Source organism: Homo sapiens, chromosome 11 (genome assembly GCF_000001405.40).
Source record: "Homo sapiens chromosome 11, GRCh38.p14 Primary Assembly".
Taxonomy (NCBI): Eukaryota; Metazoa; Chordata; class Mammalia; order Primates; family Hominidae; genus Homo; species Homo sapiens.
This window is the reverse complement of record NC_000011.10, coordinates 114,663,310-114,677,851: the sequence shown is the minus strand read 5'-3', so window position 1 is coordinate 114,677,851 and position 14,542 is coordinate 114,663,310. Positions and strand designations below refer to the sequence as shown.

The following is a 14,542-nucleotide window of genomic DNA, read 5'->3' as shown; positions in this document are numbered from 1 at the left end:
ACACACGGGCCACACTCAGTATGCATTGCTCTGCATGAGAGTGTCTAGATATAGATCTCTATATACAGATATAGATAGATGATAGCTATCTAGATATAAATATGGATATATACATGTGTATACTTCATAGATATGTGTATATTTATATACACATAGCATTTGTTTGTTTGCATCTAAGCCAGCACCTCTAGCCACCATATATCCCTCCATGTCTATATAACAGCATGGATATCAGAACTGTAATCACAGCATATTGGAGATTGGCACAGAGATTCGGTAGATAATTTTTAAAGAAATTTATTGAAAGAAAAAAGATATGGATCCTGCCAATTCTTCCCCACTCCTTATAAGACATGTTCTTCTCCTCTGCCTTGTGCTGCAGTGTTATGACAGTTATAATAGTGTCCAGAATTGTTTTTCAACTTTATTGAGGTACAGTTCGCAAATAAAAAATGTATGTGTTTACAGTGTATAATGTGATGTTTTGATGTATGCAGACATTGTGAAGTGATTACTACAATCAAGCTAATTAACATATCCATCACCTAACATGGTTATTTTTATTTGTGTGGTGAGAACGCTTAAGATCTAGTCTCTTTGCAATTTTCAAGTATGCAATAAAGTATTATTAACTATAGACACAATGCTGTACAATAAATCTCTAGAACTTATTCATCCTGTGTAAAGTAAAACCTTGAGTCTTCTGACCAACATCCCCTATTTGCCCCTCTCCCTGACCAGACCCTCAGCAACCACGATTCTACTCTATTTATATGAATTTGACATTTTTAGATTTCACATGTAAATGAGATAATGCAATAGTTATCTTTCCGTGTTCTGTGATTGGCCCATTTTACCCAGCATAATGTCCTCCAGGTTCACCCATGTTGTTGCAAATGGCAAGATTTCCTTCTTTTTTAAGGCTGAGCAACACCCAACTGTTTATGTGTATATATGACACAATTTCTTTATCAGTTCATCTGTTGATGCATACTTAACGTTGTTTCCATGTCTTGGCTACTGTGAATATTGCTGCAATTAACATGGGAGTGCAGATATCTTCTTAAATACTGACTTCTTTTCCTTTGGATATATACCCATTAGCGGGATTGCTGGATCATACAGTATTTCCATTTTAAATTTGTTGAGTAATCTCCATACTGTTATCCAAAATGGCTGTACTAATTTACATTCCCATCAAAAGTGTACAAGTATTCCCTTTCTCCCTCTCCTCACCATCACTTATCTTTCGTCTTTTTGATAATAACCATACTAACAGGTATGAGGTAATCTCTCATTGTAGTTTTAATTTGCATTTTCCTGATGATTAGTGAGGCTTGACATTTTTTTCATATACCTCTTGGCCATTAGAATGTCTTCTCTAAGAAATATCTATTCAGCTCCTTTTCCAATTTTCTAATTGGATTATTCATTTTCTTACTATTAACTTATTTGAGTTCTTTTATATTTAATTTAAATATTAATTCCTTATCAGATGTATGGTTTGCAAATGTTTTTTCCCATTTCGTAGGTTGTCTCTTCATTCTGTTAATTGTCTCCCTTGCAGTACAGAAGCTTTTAAGTTTGATGTAATCTCATTTTGTCTATTTTTTGTTTTGTTGCCTGTGCTTTTGGAGTCATATCAAAAAAACCTCAGTGACCATACCAATATCAAAGAGATTTTTCCCTATGTTTTCTTCTAGCAGTTTTACAGTTTCAGGTCCTATGTTTAAGTCTTTAATCCATTTTCAGTTGGATTTTTTTTATATGTTGTGAGATAAGGTTCTAGTTTCATTCTTCCACATGTGGATATGCAGTTCTGTCAGCACCATTTATTGAAAAGCCTGTCTTTTCTCCATTGTGTGCTTTTGGCACCTTTGTCCAAAAATCAGTTGACTGTAAACATGTGGATTTATTTCTGGGGTCTCTATTTGGTTCCATTCTTCTATGTGTCTGTTTTTATGCCCATACCATGCTGTTTTGATTACTAGAGCTTGCAGTAGATTTTGAAATCAGGTAGTTTAATATTTCCAGCTTTGATATTATTGGTCAAGATTGGTTTGGCTATTTGCGGTCTTTTGTGGTTCCATGTAAGTTTCAGAATTATTACTTTTATTTCTGTTAGAAAGTCCATTGGAATTTTGATAAAGATGACGTTAAATCTGTAGAATGTTTTGGGCAGTATGGACATTTTAACAATATTAATTTTTCTAATCCATGAACACAGGATATCATTCTATGAAGAGATCTTTTCCCTACTTCATGAAATTAATTCCTAAGGGTTTTTTTTATGCTATATTAAATTAAATTGTTTTCTTGATTTCTTTTTCAGATAGTTTATTGTTAGCGTATAGAAAATCTATGTATTTCTGCAGTGAATTTTGTATCCTGCAACTTTACTGAATTTGTTCAACAGTTCTAACAGTTTTTTGGTGGAGTCTTTAGAGTTCTCTATATATAAGCTCCTGTCACTGGCAAACAGAAACCATTTTACTTCATTTTTTATTTGGATGCCTTTTATTTCTTTCTCTTGCCCAACCATTCTGGCTAGGACTTCCAGTACTATGTTGAATTCAATGGCAAGAGTGGGTATCCTCTTATTCCTCATCTTAAAGGAAAAGCCTTTAGATTTTCACCATTGAGTATGATATTAGTTGTGGGTTTGTCATATATAGTGTTTATTGTGTTGGAGTATAATCCTTCTAATAATCCTTCTATACTCAATTTTTTAGAGTTTTTTTCTCATGAAAAGACATTGAATATTGTCAAATCCTTTTTCTTTATCTATTGAGATGATATGATTTTTATCCTGCATTCTGTTAATATGATGGATTACATGTATAGATTTGTGTATGTTGAACCATCCTTGCATCCAAGGGATAAATCTCACTTGATTATGGTGAATCATTCTTTCAATGTGCTATTGAATTTTGTTTGCTAGTATTTTGTTTTGGATTTTTGCATCTATGTTCATTAGGGATGATAGTCTATAATTATCTTTTCTCCTAGCGTCCTTGTCTGGCTTTGATATCGGGACAATGCTGGTCATCTAAAATGAATTTGAAAGTATTCCCTTTACTTCAATTGTTTGGAAGAGTTTGGGAAGAGTTGGCATTATTTCTTCTTTAATGTTTACTAGAATTCATGAGAGAAGCCATCAGGTCCTGTCTTTTCTTTGTTGAACAGTTTTGTTCATTGTTTTCTAACTGCTTTGTAGTTACTTTGTGTCGTTCTTTCTCTCTTGTTGTCTTCTTTTGTGATTTGATTTTTTTTTTGTGGTGGTATGTTTTGATTCCTCCTTATCTTTCATGTTATCTACTACAAGTTTTTTCTTTGTGGTTGCCATGAGGTTTGCATAAAACATACTATGGCTCTAAAATCCATTTTAAAGTGCTAACAACTTTGACCACATACAATAGGATTCTCTCCTAATGTGGAATCTAGTCTTTATGTAGCTAAGTGAAATTATTCAGCTCCATAGACACTTGATGATAAATGTGTGTCTGAGCCACATCACAATTACTGAAGCACATTTTTCCCATTGTGTTATTTTTATTTAATGATTTTTCAAGAGAAAATTAAGGTTATTTGGTTGGCAAATAATTTTAAACATTTTTGTTGGTATGAACTTCAGCATACCATTGTAGGAAATGCAACATATGCATGAATTTTTTAAATAAAAGACTACTAAGGCATTTTAATTCCTTAGCAGGTTTTGTTCACTTGTTTGTTTGTTTGTTTGTTTGTTTGTTTGTTTGTTTTTAAACAATGTCCACCAGCCCCTGGAGGCCCCTTCTCTCCTTTTGAAATTTTTAATCTCCACTAATCCCATCATCATCTTTGGGGTGATTTCTAGTTTTGTCTTTATCCTGTACTTGTGAAGATAAGCTGATAAATGACATTGTCATGGTGAGATTTAACAGAATTCTGGTTTTGGGCTAGTTTGTAGGAGAGATGTGTATCCTGAAGGATTTAGGAATTCACAAAGAATTTCCTCATGAGCAATTTGAGGGAGGCTATCTGGGGAGATATGTGGCTTCCTATCTTTGTGGGAACCTGGTTTATGGATGAGGCTCTCACATAGAGTTATGAAATTACAGCTCTTTGGGAACAAAAGGAAAGCAGTATTGCATGACTCAATTCCCAAGTTTAACTTTCTCTTTGGCATAGAGAGTTAGGGGTCCTGAGATTCTATTTTCTTTCACAATAGGGATTTTTTCTCTTTTATTCCTGATTTTAGTAATTTGAGTTTTCTCTTTTATTCTGAGTTATTCTAGCTACAGGTTTGTCAATTTTATTGGTCTTTTGAAAGGACTTTTTTTTGGTTTCAATGATTTTTCTGTCCTGTTTTTCTATTCTCTATTTTTCTGCTCTGATTTTTATATTTTATTTATTTTGCTTGCTTTATGCTTAGTTTGCTCTACATTTTCCAGTGTCCTTAGGTGAAAAGTTAGGTTATTGATTTGAGATCTTTCTTCTTTTTTAATATGGGTGTGAACAGCCACAAATTTCCATCTAATAACTACTTTATCTTTATCCCATAAGTTTTGGTTTGTTATACCTTCATTTTCATTCATCTGAAAGTGTATTCTGATTTCCCTTGTGATTTCTTCTTTGACACCTTGATTATTTAGTAGTGTGTTGTTTAATTTTATATATTTGTGAATTTTCCAAATTTATTTTCATTACCAATTTCTAATTTCATTCCATATAGCCACAGAGCATACTTCGCATGATTTCAATTATTTTATATATACTATATATGTTATATATATAATATATATATAGGCTTGTTTTATGGCATAGTATGTGGTCTATCCTAGAGAATGTTCCATGTGTACTTGAGAAGAATATGTTTTCTGTTGTTGTTGGGCAGAATGTTCTATAGACATCTGTGTGGTCTAGATGGCTTATAATTTTGGAGTTTTTTCTTACTGTTATTCTGTCTAGTTGTTCTAATCATTATTGAAAATATGATATTGAAGTCTCTAACTATTATTGTTGAATTGTCTATTTCTTTTTTCAATTCTGTAGGTTTTCGTTTATATATGTTAGGTCTATATTGTTAAATGCTTATATTTTTCTCAGTGTTATATCTCCCTGATGTATTGACACTTTTAACATTAGAAAACGTTCCTCATTATCCATGGTGACATTATGGCTTTTAAAGTCTATTTTGTCCACCTCATCTTTCATATTATTGCTGTTTGAATGATACCTTTTTTCCATCCTTTTACTTTCAAACTGCTTGTATCATTAAATGTAAAGTATGTGTCTTGTAGGCAGTATATGTTAGTTGGATCTTGTCCCATTAACCAGTCTGGCAATTTCTGCCTTTTGATTGGATTGTTTAATCCATTATTCACATTAAGTATTATCATTAAAATAGTTATTTTACCTTTGTTTTTAATACGCCCTTTGCATCTTTTTTTCTCTGTTCTTCCTTTACTGATTTATTTTGCATTAAATGAATATTTTCTAGTGTAACATCTTAATTCCTTTAATTATTGCTGTATATTTTGAAAAAATTTAGGGATTGTTCTAGCAATTAACTTGCACAGTAGATTCTTATTATTCATGGTTTTTATGTTCTATAGTTGCTTTTTGTGTGTGATATGGTTTGGTTCTGTGTCCCCACCCAAATCTCCTGTTGAATTGTAATTCCCAGTGTTAGAGGAGGGATCTGGTGGGAAGTGATTGAATCATGGGGGTGGACTTCCCCCTTGCTGTTCTTGTACTAGAGTTCTCATGAGATCTGGTTGTTTCAAAGTGTGTAGCACCTCCTCCTTCTCTCTATGTCTTTCCCACCAGCCATGTGAAGATGTGCTTGCTTCCCTTTTGCCTTCACCATGATTGTAAGTTTTCTGAGGCCTCCTTAGAAGTAGAAGCCTGTACAGCCTACAGAAACATAAGCCGATTAAACCTCTTTTACTTATAAATTACCCAGTCTCAGGTATGTCTTTATAGCAGTGTGAGAACAGACTAATATAGTGTGTGTGTCTGTTTGTGTATTCAAATTACTGTCCGTGGTCACTTGTTTTCAAACTGAGGAATTCTCCTTGCTATTTCTTGTAAAACAGATCTGTTGGCTATGAATGCTCTCAGTTTTGTTTATCTGAGAATTTCTCTTTTTCCTCTTCACTTTTAAAGACAGTTTTGCTAGATAAAACACTCTGTTGACAGGCTTATTCTATTTTTTTCTCTCAGCACTTTGAATATGTCATCCTACTGCCTTCTGGTGCCACTGTTTCTAAAGAAAAGTCAGTTGTTAGTCTTATTGTGGTTACCTGGTATGTTATAAATTATTTTCCTCTTGCTGCTTTCCAGATTTCTAATTTGACTTTGACTTTCATTTTTACTATGATGTGTCTGGGTGTGGATTTCCTTACACTATTGTACTTGTACTTTATTAAGTATCTTGGATATATAGATTAATGTTCTTCATTAAATTTGAGGAATTTTCAGCCATTATTTCTTCCATTGTTTTCTGGTCCTTTCTCCCTATCCTCTCCTAATTCCTCTATTACATTTCAACTGCTGTGCTTAAATTTGTACCGTATTTCTCTAAAGATCTATTTATATTCTTATTATTTTTCTCTCTGTTCTCTAGACTGCATAATCTCTACTGATCTACCTTCAAGTTTGCTGATTCTTTCTTCTGACAGTTCAAATCTACTGTTAAGTATCACTAGTTAACTTTTCATATCAGTTATTGTACTTTTCAACTCCAGAATTTCAATTTGATATTTTTGTTTATATATATTTATATATATATTTATATTTATGTATATATTTATATTTTTATATATATATATTTGTCCTTATTGACAATCTCTCCTTGATGGGGTATTGCCATAATAATTTCCTTTCTTTTTTTAAGCAGGGCTTCCTTTAATTCCTTGAACATATTTATATTGGCTATCTTGCAGTCTTTGTCTGACTTGGTTTGACAACTTGGCCCTCTCAGAGGCGGTTTCCATTGCCTGCGTTTTCTCCTGTTCGTGAGTCATTCTCTCCTGTTTCTTTGCATGTCTTATAATTTTTGTTGAAAACTGAATATTTCAGATAAAATATTATAGCAAATTTATATACTGATCTCCACTCTATGGAACTTGATGTTGTTGTTGTTTGCTTGTTTTACTTTTATTTATTTATTTATAGAGACACAGTCTCACTCTGTTGCCCAGGCTAGAGTGCAGTGGTACAGTCATATCTCACTGTAACTTTGAACTCCTGGGTTCAAGTGATCCTCCTGCCTCAGCCTCCTAAGTAGCTAGGACCACAGGTGTGCACCACTATGCCTGGCTACTTCTTTAATTTTTTGTAGAGATGATGTCTTGCTGTTTCCCAGGCTGATTTCCAACTCCTAGCCTCAAGGGATCCTACCACAAGGGCCACTTCAGTGCTGGGATTACAGAGGTGAGCCACTGCGCTTGGCCTGCTTGTTTGTTTAGTAATTGGGCTGGGCTATTTTAGTAGTCTATTTCTCCAGAAGTGCATAGTCTCTGATATTGCTCCTCAGAAAGTAAAGGCTTGGGCATGCACACAATCATCTTGGGATAACAGTGATTTTATCAAGGCTCTCTTTGACCATGTCTTATTTTGATTTCTCTAAGCTCTCTCCATCTGTTGTTATCATACCTAATGGATAGCCTCTACTAATTCCTGGCTGATTGCTCCATTGTTCCCCACAAGGTCCTGGGGCATAAACTGCTCTATGGTCTAATTAAATTAAATATAGACTCCTTTGAGGGGCAGTTTTTGAGACCAGTCTTTGAGGTTTGTTCTAATTCTATAGGGCTCTACCTAGCTATGTCTTTGTGCAGTTTCCTCTGGTAAATTAGTTGGTTTATGGTTTTGCTTGTTACTGTCAAGGAGCTGCCAGCTTGCTCTTAACCCATTTATCCCTGAGGTTGCAATGTTTTGAATTTTTGCAATCAGACCTTCAGGATGACTGCAAGCAGTAGGATATAAATAACTCCCACATGCTTAGTGTTCCAATAATGGAACACTAGGCATAATTGCCTACAACCAATATCTCCATTATCTTTGGAAGAGTTTTTTTTAGGACTGAAATTCCCTTCAGACTGCTCCAAATAAAGTCAGTGCCCTTGGAAAAAATATGTGGAGCATTCTGTTGCTATGACCTGCCTCTCTTCCTGGGCAAAACTTCTGCCATTGCTCCAGAACTGAAGTCAGTGACAGTGGCCCATTTCTCAGGGTGACACTCAGCCAGTGAGCTGAAGTGAGAATAATTGGAGCTTGGTATTCTCAGTCCATCAAACCTAGAAAAGTGCTTCTGCTCTATAAGTAGGGGCTGGGTAGAGAAAGAGAGTCCAGGACTTCTAAGCCATTCTTGGGTAGAATAGAACCTCTGCAACACACAACTGGAAGGAATGAAAAGGGATATCTTACCCTTCAGGTAAGATATTCTTGACTGACAAGTCAGGGAAGATGAAGTCTTCTTGATTGCACCTGCCAGAGTAGAGCTTTGTCATGCTAACTTGTGGGCTTGGAAAGAGAAGATGGAAGGATTTTGTGGCTCAATTTCCAGTCTTTTTCCATTCTAACTGAGATATAGAAGATTTTCTTCAAAAAATGTTTATTCATTTGCTGTATGCCCTTGGGATAATTTCCAAAGACTTTAAATCATTGTTTGTTTTATAATGTGCATCAATTATGATTGTTCCACTGGGGAGAGGGTCCACAGAGCTTCTCACATTTTTGCTGGAAGTCATCTCTTGATTTCTATTGTTTTTGAAATCATTCCAGAGCATAGGAATTTTCTGTGGAGCTCTAAATCTGATCAGTCTCTTCCACTTTCAGCAAGCTACCATTCCTCATGGCTACCACTCTATAGAGCTGGGAGTGGAATGGGAGCAGCCCCAAGTTAAAATCACAGAGATTCCATTCTTCTAATCAAAATTCAGTCATTTTTCTTAAATAAGTGTTGTTTGATTTATTGTATACCTTTGGTTGCTTTTCAGAGTTTTGCAAATATTGTTTTTGATGATTTTGTCCAGTTATTTCTGGGAGAGGATTTGCCAAGTTTCTTATTTCACCATTCCAAAAATGCTGTCCTAATAGTTGGCTTCTATATTTACAATATTCACTAAAGATTAACAGTAACTTATTAATATTTTATGAAGAAAATATAAAGATAAGTCATGGTCTCTGCCCACTCCCATTTATCTTCCTAGTTTGTTCCTTTTCCCCACTTGCTCTGAGCAGATCCTAGAATACTGTGTGCCCTTATATACCTTATGGCTGTGTTTATCTGGAGAACTCTAACTGAGTTCTTCTCCAGTTAGAGAAGGCTGAGGTTCCTTCTGTGTGTACCTGTAGAACCTCAACCTCACTGTTATAAATAGTGCTTGTCACAAATTTTTGTTTGCTTGTTTCTGTATCCTCTGTGTATTAGTTATCTACTGCTGTGTAACTTAGTAATTTAAAACAATAAACATTTATTATCTCATAGTTTGTGCAGTTGAGAACTTAGGAGTGGCTTATCTGGGTGGTATGTTAGCCTGTTCACTAGCAGAAATAGGAAGCAGACAAGCAGGAGCCTGTCCCTTATCTTCCTCCAGAAGTCTCCCTCTAGTGTACCTTAATTAACATAGATCCTAATAGGAAAGCAGCTAAGGTTTGCAGAGTCCCAGCCACAGAATCACAAAACAGAGTACAGAAAAGTAGTTTGGAGTTGAGAGCCAATAGCTTAAGAGCAGGCACACTATCCATCTATCAAGAGGTATTCAGTCTTTTCCAAGAACACTTCCTGAACATCCTTCTCCCTAAGAAAGGCTGAGGTTCCTTCTGTGTGTACCTGTAGAACCTCAACCTCACTGTTACAAATAGTGCTTGTCACAATTTTTTGTTTGCTTGTTTCTGTATCCTCTGTGTATTAGTTATCTACTGCTGTGTAACTTAGTAATTTAAAACAATAAACATTTATTATCTCATAGTTTGTGCAGTTGAGAACTTAGGAGTGGCTTATTTGGGTGGTTCTGCCTCAAGATCTCTAATGAGGTCTCTGTCAGTATGGCAGCTGGAGATACGCTCATCATCTGAAGGCCTGACTGGGGCTGGAAGATTTACTTCTAAGATGGCTGACTCAGATGGCTGTTGTCAGGAGGCCTCAGTTCTTTGCTGTCTGTTAGCAAGGTCTCAGTTCTTCGCCACTTTCCATGGACTGTTGAGCGTACTCATGATGTGGCAGCTGGTTTTCCCCAAAGCAAGTAATCCAAGAGAGAAAGCAAGGAGGAAATCACAATGCCATCTTTGACCTACTCTCACATGTCATGACTTCCACCAAATTATATTTGTTAGAAGCAAGACAAATCCATTATTACTCAAGAGGTGGGGAATTGGGTTCCACTTCTTTGAGGGTGGAGTATCAAAGAATTTATGGACATCTTTGGTGTTGCGTGTTTAATTAATGGATAATCTCTAACTGAATTAACATTTAGAAGTCTATTACTTCAGAATTAAGCTTCAAATTGACATTTTAGGAGAAATTTGTTTAGTTATTAAATATAATTATGTTTATTAAAAACATTTTTTAAAATTCACTCTGTTACTCTTTCTCAACTTCCTATTTGTAATGGTTAAAGAATGAATTTAAAAAGTTCAGAAAGATACCTTCATTTCTAAAAGAACAAAACCAGTTTTGTCACTCTCTGTCAATCAGGACCTGGATCTTCACGTAAATATCTTCATGTATACAGATAACTCACTGGACCACATGGCCATCACAGCACAGTTAGAACAACACCTGGCACATGTAAAATTTTGTTGCATGAATACAAGGAAAACAGAAACATACTTTAAAAGTGAGGACGTTAGATGTTGATTAATGTTCAAACCTGTGTTTGTGTTTCTGAGGGCTATGGGTGTGGACATATGTGTGTGGATGTGTGCAGGGGTGTTTTTTATGTATATATGCTATAAAGAGAAGTGTGGGTATTGTGAATGAAGGGTAATATTTGTTTTTCCTTTGGTAATTCTGTCCATTATGACTGAAATAAGAATTCAGTTCAAATGTTGTAAATACAAGGAAAAGACCAATACTCTAAGAGGGCATTCCAAGACAAGCTGATATTCTACCTTATAAAAGCTTCTCACATGCATATGCCAGCAATTTGAGACCCTAATACCTCTTTAGAAATTATTTTGTGAAACCATGAATAATATTTCAGATAAAAAAACCAAAGTACTAAGGGCTTATATGATTTAAGGCCATATATCCTATTAATCAACAGATAGAACAGGTCTCTTAACTATCAATCCAGTTAATTTCTTATGCCATTTTACCATTTCTGAAAAAAAGAGAATTACCTTTTCTTTGAAAGTTCATATATAATATTTTAAGACAAATCAATACTGATGTGAGGATACACGTTTTATACTTTGATAGTAATAATCAAATTGAATTGATTTTTTAATCAATTTCCCTTTAGGGGAAAAAAAATCTTTCATCCCCAAATTGGGGTAATTATGGATCTGTGGGACTTTTACTTTACTTTAAAGGAGGCCCTGGAACTGGCCTCAGGCTAGCAAGAAATGTCGTAAAAATGAAAATGCTGCTGTGAGCCCAGGAAGATAATGGTTTAAAGAGGAATGAATCTGCTATACGGTAGCAAAGGTATATAGCTTTCAAAAAAGCAAAATGGGGAAAATGTGAGAGCCTTAGAGAGAGAAGGAGAAGGTCAGTGGAAAGGATGGCATGGCTGTCTAAAGATGTGGAGAGTCATCAGAAGTCTGGGAAAATGTGCACTAGGGCCAAATGAACCTGAATACTGGAAGGATTCTCATAAGATGCAGGATAGTGTGGAAGTAAGGGCACTGGAATCGGAAACCTGTAGATTCAACTCCTAACCCTGCCCCCTACCTCAGTCTCCTCACTTGTAAAACAAGAGTGATAATAACTGCACACAGATTTGTCATGGAGACAACTATTTTAGTGCAAGCAAAGGTCCTAGTGCATTGTAGGTGGTCAATAAATGGCACCTTTAATTAGCTTCAAGTAGTTACAGTAATGTGATAGGAAGGGAAAGTTCCAAGGAGAAACTTTAAACCTGCACAGTCTTAGCCCTTCTCCAAGTCCCTGGATTCTGACCTTGACTTCATCTGTGGATGTTTGCCACCTATGCACTGTCTTTCTAACTGACTCCAGATTACAAATTATTTAACCTGCTGAACTATCTTCCACCTACACTGACTCTTAGCAATCTGTTCTAGTTCTTGCTGTCCTGTCCTACTAATATTTGATGTTAACTACGTGGGCTTCAGAGAAGTTGTTGAAATATTTTAAAAGGTACATAACTCTTTGCATGCTTTGAGAACCTCAGGCTTTTCAAACTCCTTCCTTTTTAGAAATGATATATTAAGGACTGGCATATGGATGGTTTTCACAAAGTATGACTGAAAATGGGATTGAAATCAGGTTGTGCTATGTTCACAGAATTTTAAAACTTTGGACAAGTTCAGAACATCATTGTTAATAGATCATCAAGACGTGATGGGCTTATAACCACGACATTCTAATTAGAGAGATTGTGGGGGAGAAATTAGCATTTCAAATGACTTAAAGCTGGTTGAGAGAATATTTTAGAGACTAGAAAGCATTTTTTGAATTTATCTTAAATAGATATTACTTTCTGTATTTTGCTAAGATAATGGCATTATCATAAAGAACATGGGAAAGATGTGGCAAGGCTACTTTATATATCTATAATGAAACCCTAATACACATTTTGTTTGATAAATGGGAATATAAGATAATAGTGATGCTGTGTACAGATGTGCCCCAGCTTACATGGGGTTATGTTCCATTAAACCCATCATAAGTTGAAAATATCCTAAGTTGAAAATGCATTTAATACATCTAACCTACCAAACATCATAGCTTAGCCTAGCCCACTTTAAATGTGCTCTGAACACTTACATTAGCCAACAGCTGGGCAAAATCATCTGACAATCCAGTAGTACACTGTAGAGTATTGGTTGTTTACCCTTGTGATTGTGTGACAGACTGGGAGCTGAGGCTCTCTGCCGCTGCCCTGCCTCCCAAGAGAGTATCCTACAGCATATTGCTAGGGGAACAGATCAAAATTCAAAATTGGAAGTACGGTTTCTATTGAATGCTTATCACTTTTGCACCACTTTATGAGTCAACAACTCATAAGTCAAACCCTCACAAGTTGGGGACTGTGTAATTAAGTGCATACAAAATTATATATATGTAACTTTAAGGAATCTGTACTTTCAAGGAGCTCCTTTTCTTCTGTGTGTGCAGAACAGTCTGACAGTGAGCAAATGTGGGAAATGACACTCTGTCCAGGTTTTCGTGAAGTCAATTTATTGAGGTGCAATTTACGTGAAGTAAAATTCACTATTTTTTTTTGTTTACAGTTGTAAGTTTCGACGATAATGTAACTACCACCACAATCAAGATAGAGAATAATTCCACTACCCAAAACTTTACTTATACACCTTTGTGTTCAGCCCTTGTCCCTAATCCCAGACCTTTACAAGCCCTTAATTTGTTTTCTGCCATGATGGTTTTGCCTTTTCCAGAATGTTATATAAGCCTTTTTAGTCTGTGTTCTTTTTCTTGGCATACTGCATTTGAGATTCATATTATAGTACTTGTGTATCTCATTGCCACTGAATTACAGCATTCAGCAGTATGGATATATCCCAGCTTGTTTAATTAGTCGAAGGACATTTGAATTATTTTCCAGTTTTGGCAATTGTGAATAAAACCTCTATAAATAATCACGTATAAACTTTTGTGTGAACGTAAGTTTTCATTTCTCTGGTGTGGCATTGCTGTGTGGTAAGTCTGTTTTAACATTATAAGAAACTGTCAAACTGTTTTGAAGTGTCTGCACCATTTTTGCACCCCATCAGCAATGTGCCAAAGTTGACCTTCTAATAGGTGTGTAGTAGTGTCTCACTGTGATTTTATTTTTATTTCCCTAATGACAGATTATGCTGAGCATCTTTTTATATGCTCATATCTTTTCTGGATGATCCATCTCCATATCTTTTCTGGATGAAATGTTTAAATTTTGGCTATTTTTTACTTGGGTTGCTTATTATTATTGAGTTCGCCAATAGATAGGTAGGTAGATCAGATAGATAGATAGATAGATAGATAGATAGATAGATAAATAGATAGATGATAGATAAATAGATGATAGATGGATAGATGATAGATAGATAGATAGATAGATAGATAGATAGATAGATAGATAGATAGATGATAGATAGAGATGATAGATAGAGATAGACAGGAGATGGTGAAGGGGCCTGGTGACCTTACAGCTCCCAGTTTACACCCCTACTGAAGGGTGGGACACTCATGCTCTTGGCTTCCATTAGACACCACCATGTCCTTCTAAGACAACCCCCATTTTATTTTACATAAACCCACACCCGTTTTTTGTTACCTGCAACCATTTAGTCCTAACTCTTGAACAGGAAGAGGGCCCACCAATCCAGACATTGGCAGGCTACAAGAGCAGCCTAGGCAGAGCAT

At 35.5% G+C, this 14,542-nt stretch overlaps 2 protein-coding genes across 5 annotated transcripts in view; one reads left to right on the top strand and one right to left on the bottom strand.

Annotated features, from left to right (window-relative positions):
- The window catches only part of NXPE2 (neurexophilin and PC-esterase domain family member 2), a 349,427-nt gene that overhangs the window by 135,851 nt on the left and 199,034 nt on the right, over positions 1–14,542 (bottom strand). The window lies entirely within an intron of this gene.
- NXPE4 (neurexophilin and PC-esterase domain family member 4) overlaps positions 1–14,542 on the top strand; it is a 107,660-nt gene that overhangs the window by 399 nt on the left and 92,719 nt on the right. The window lies entirely within an intron of this gene.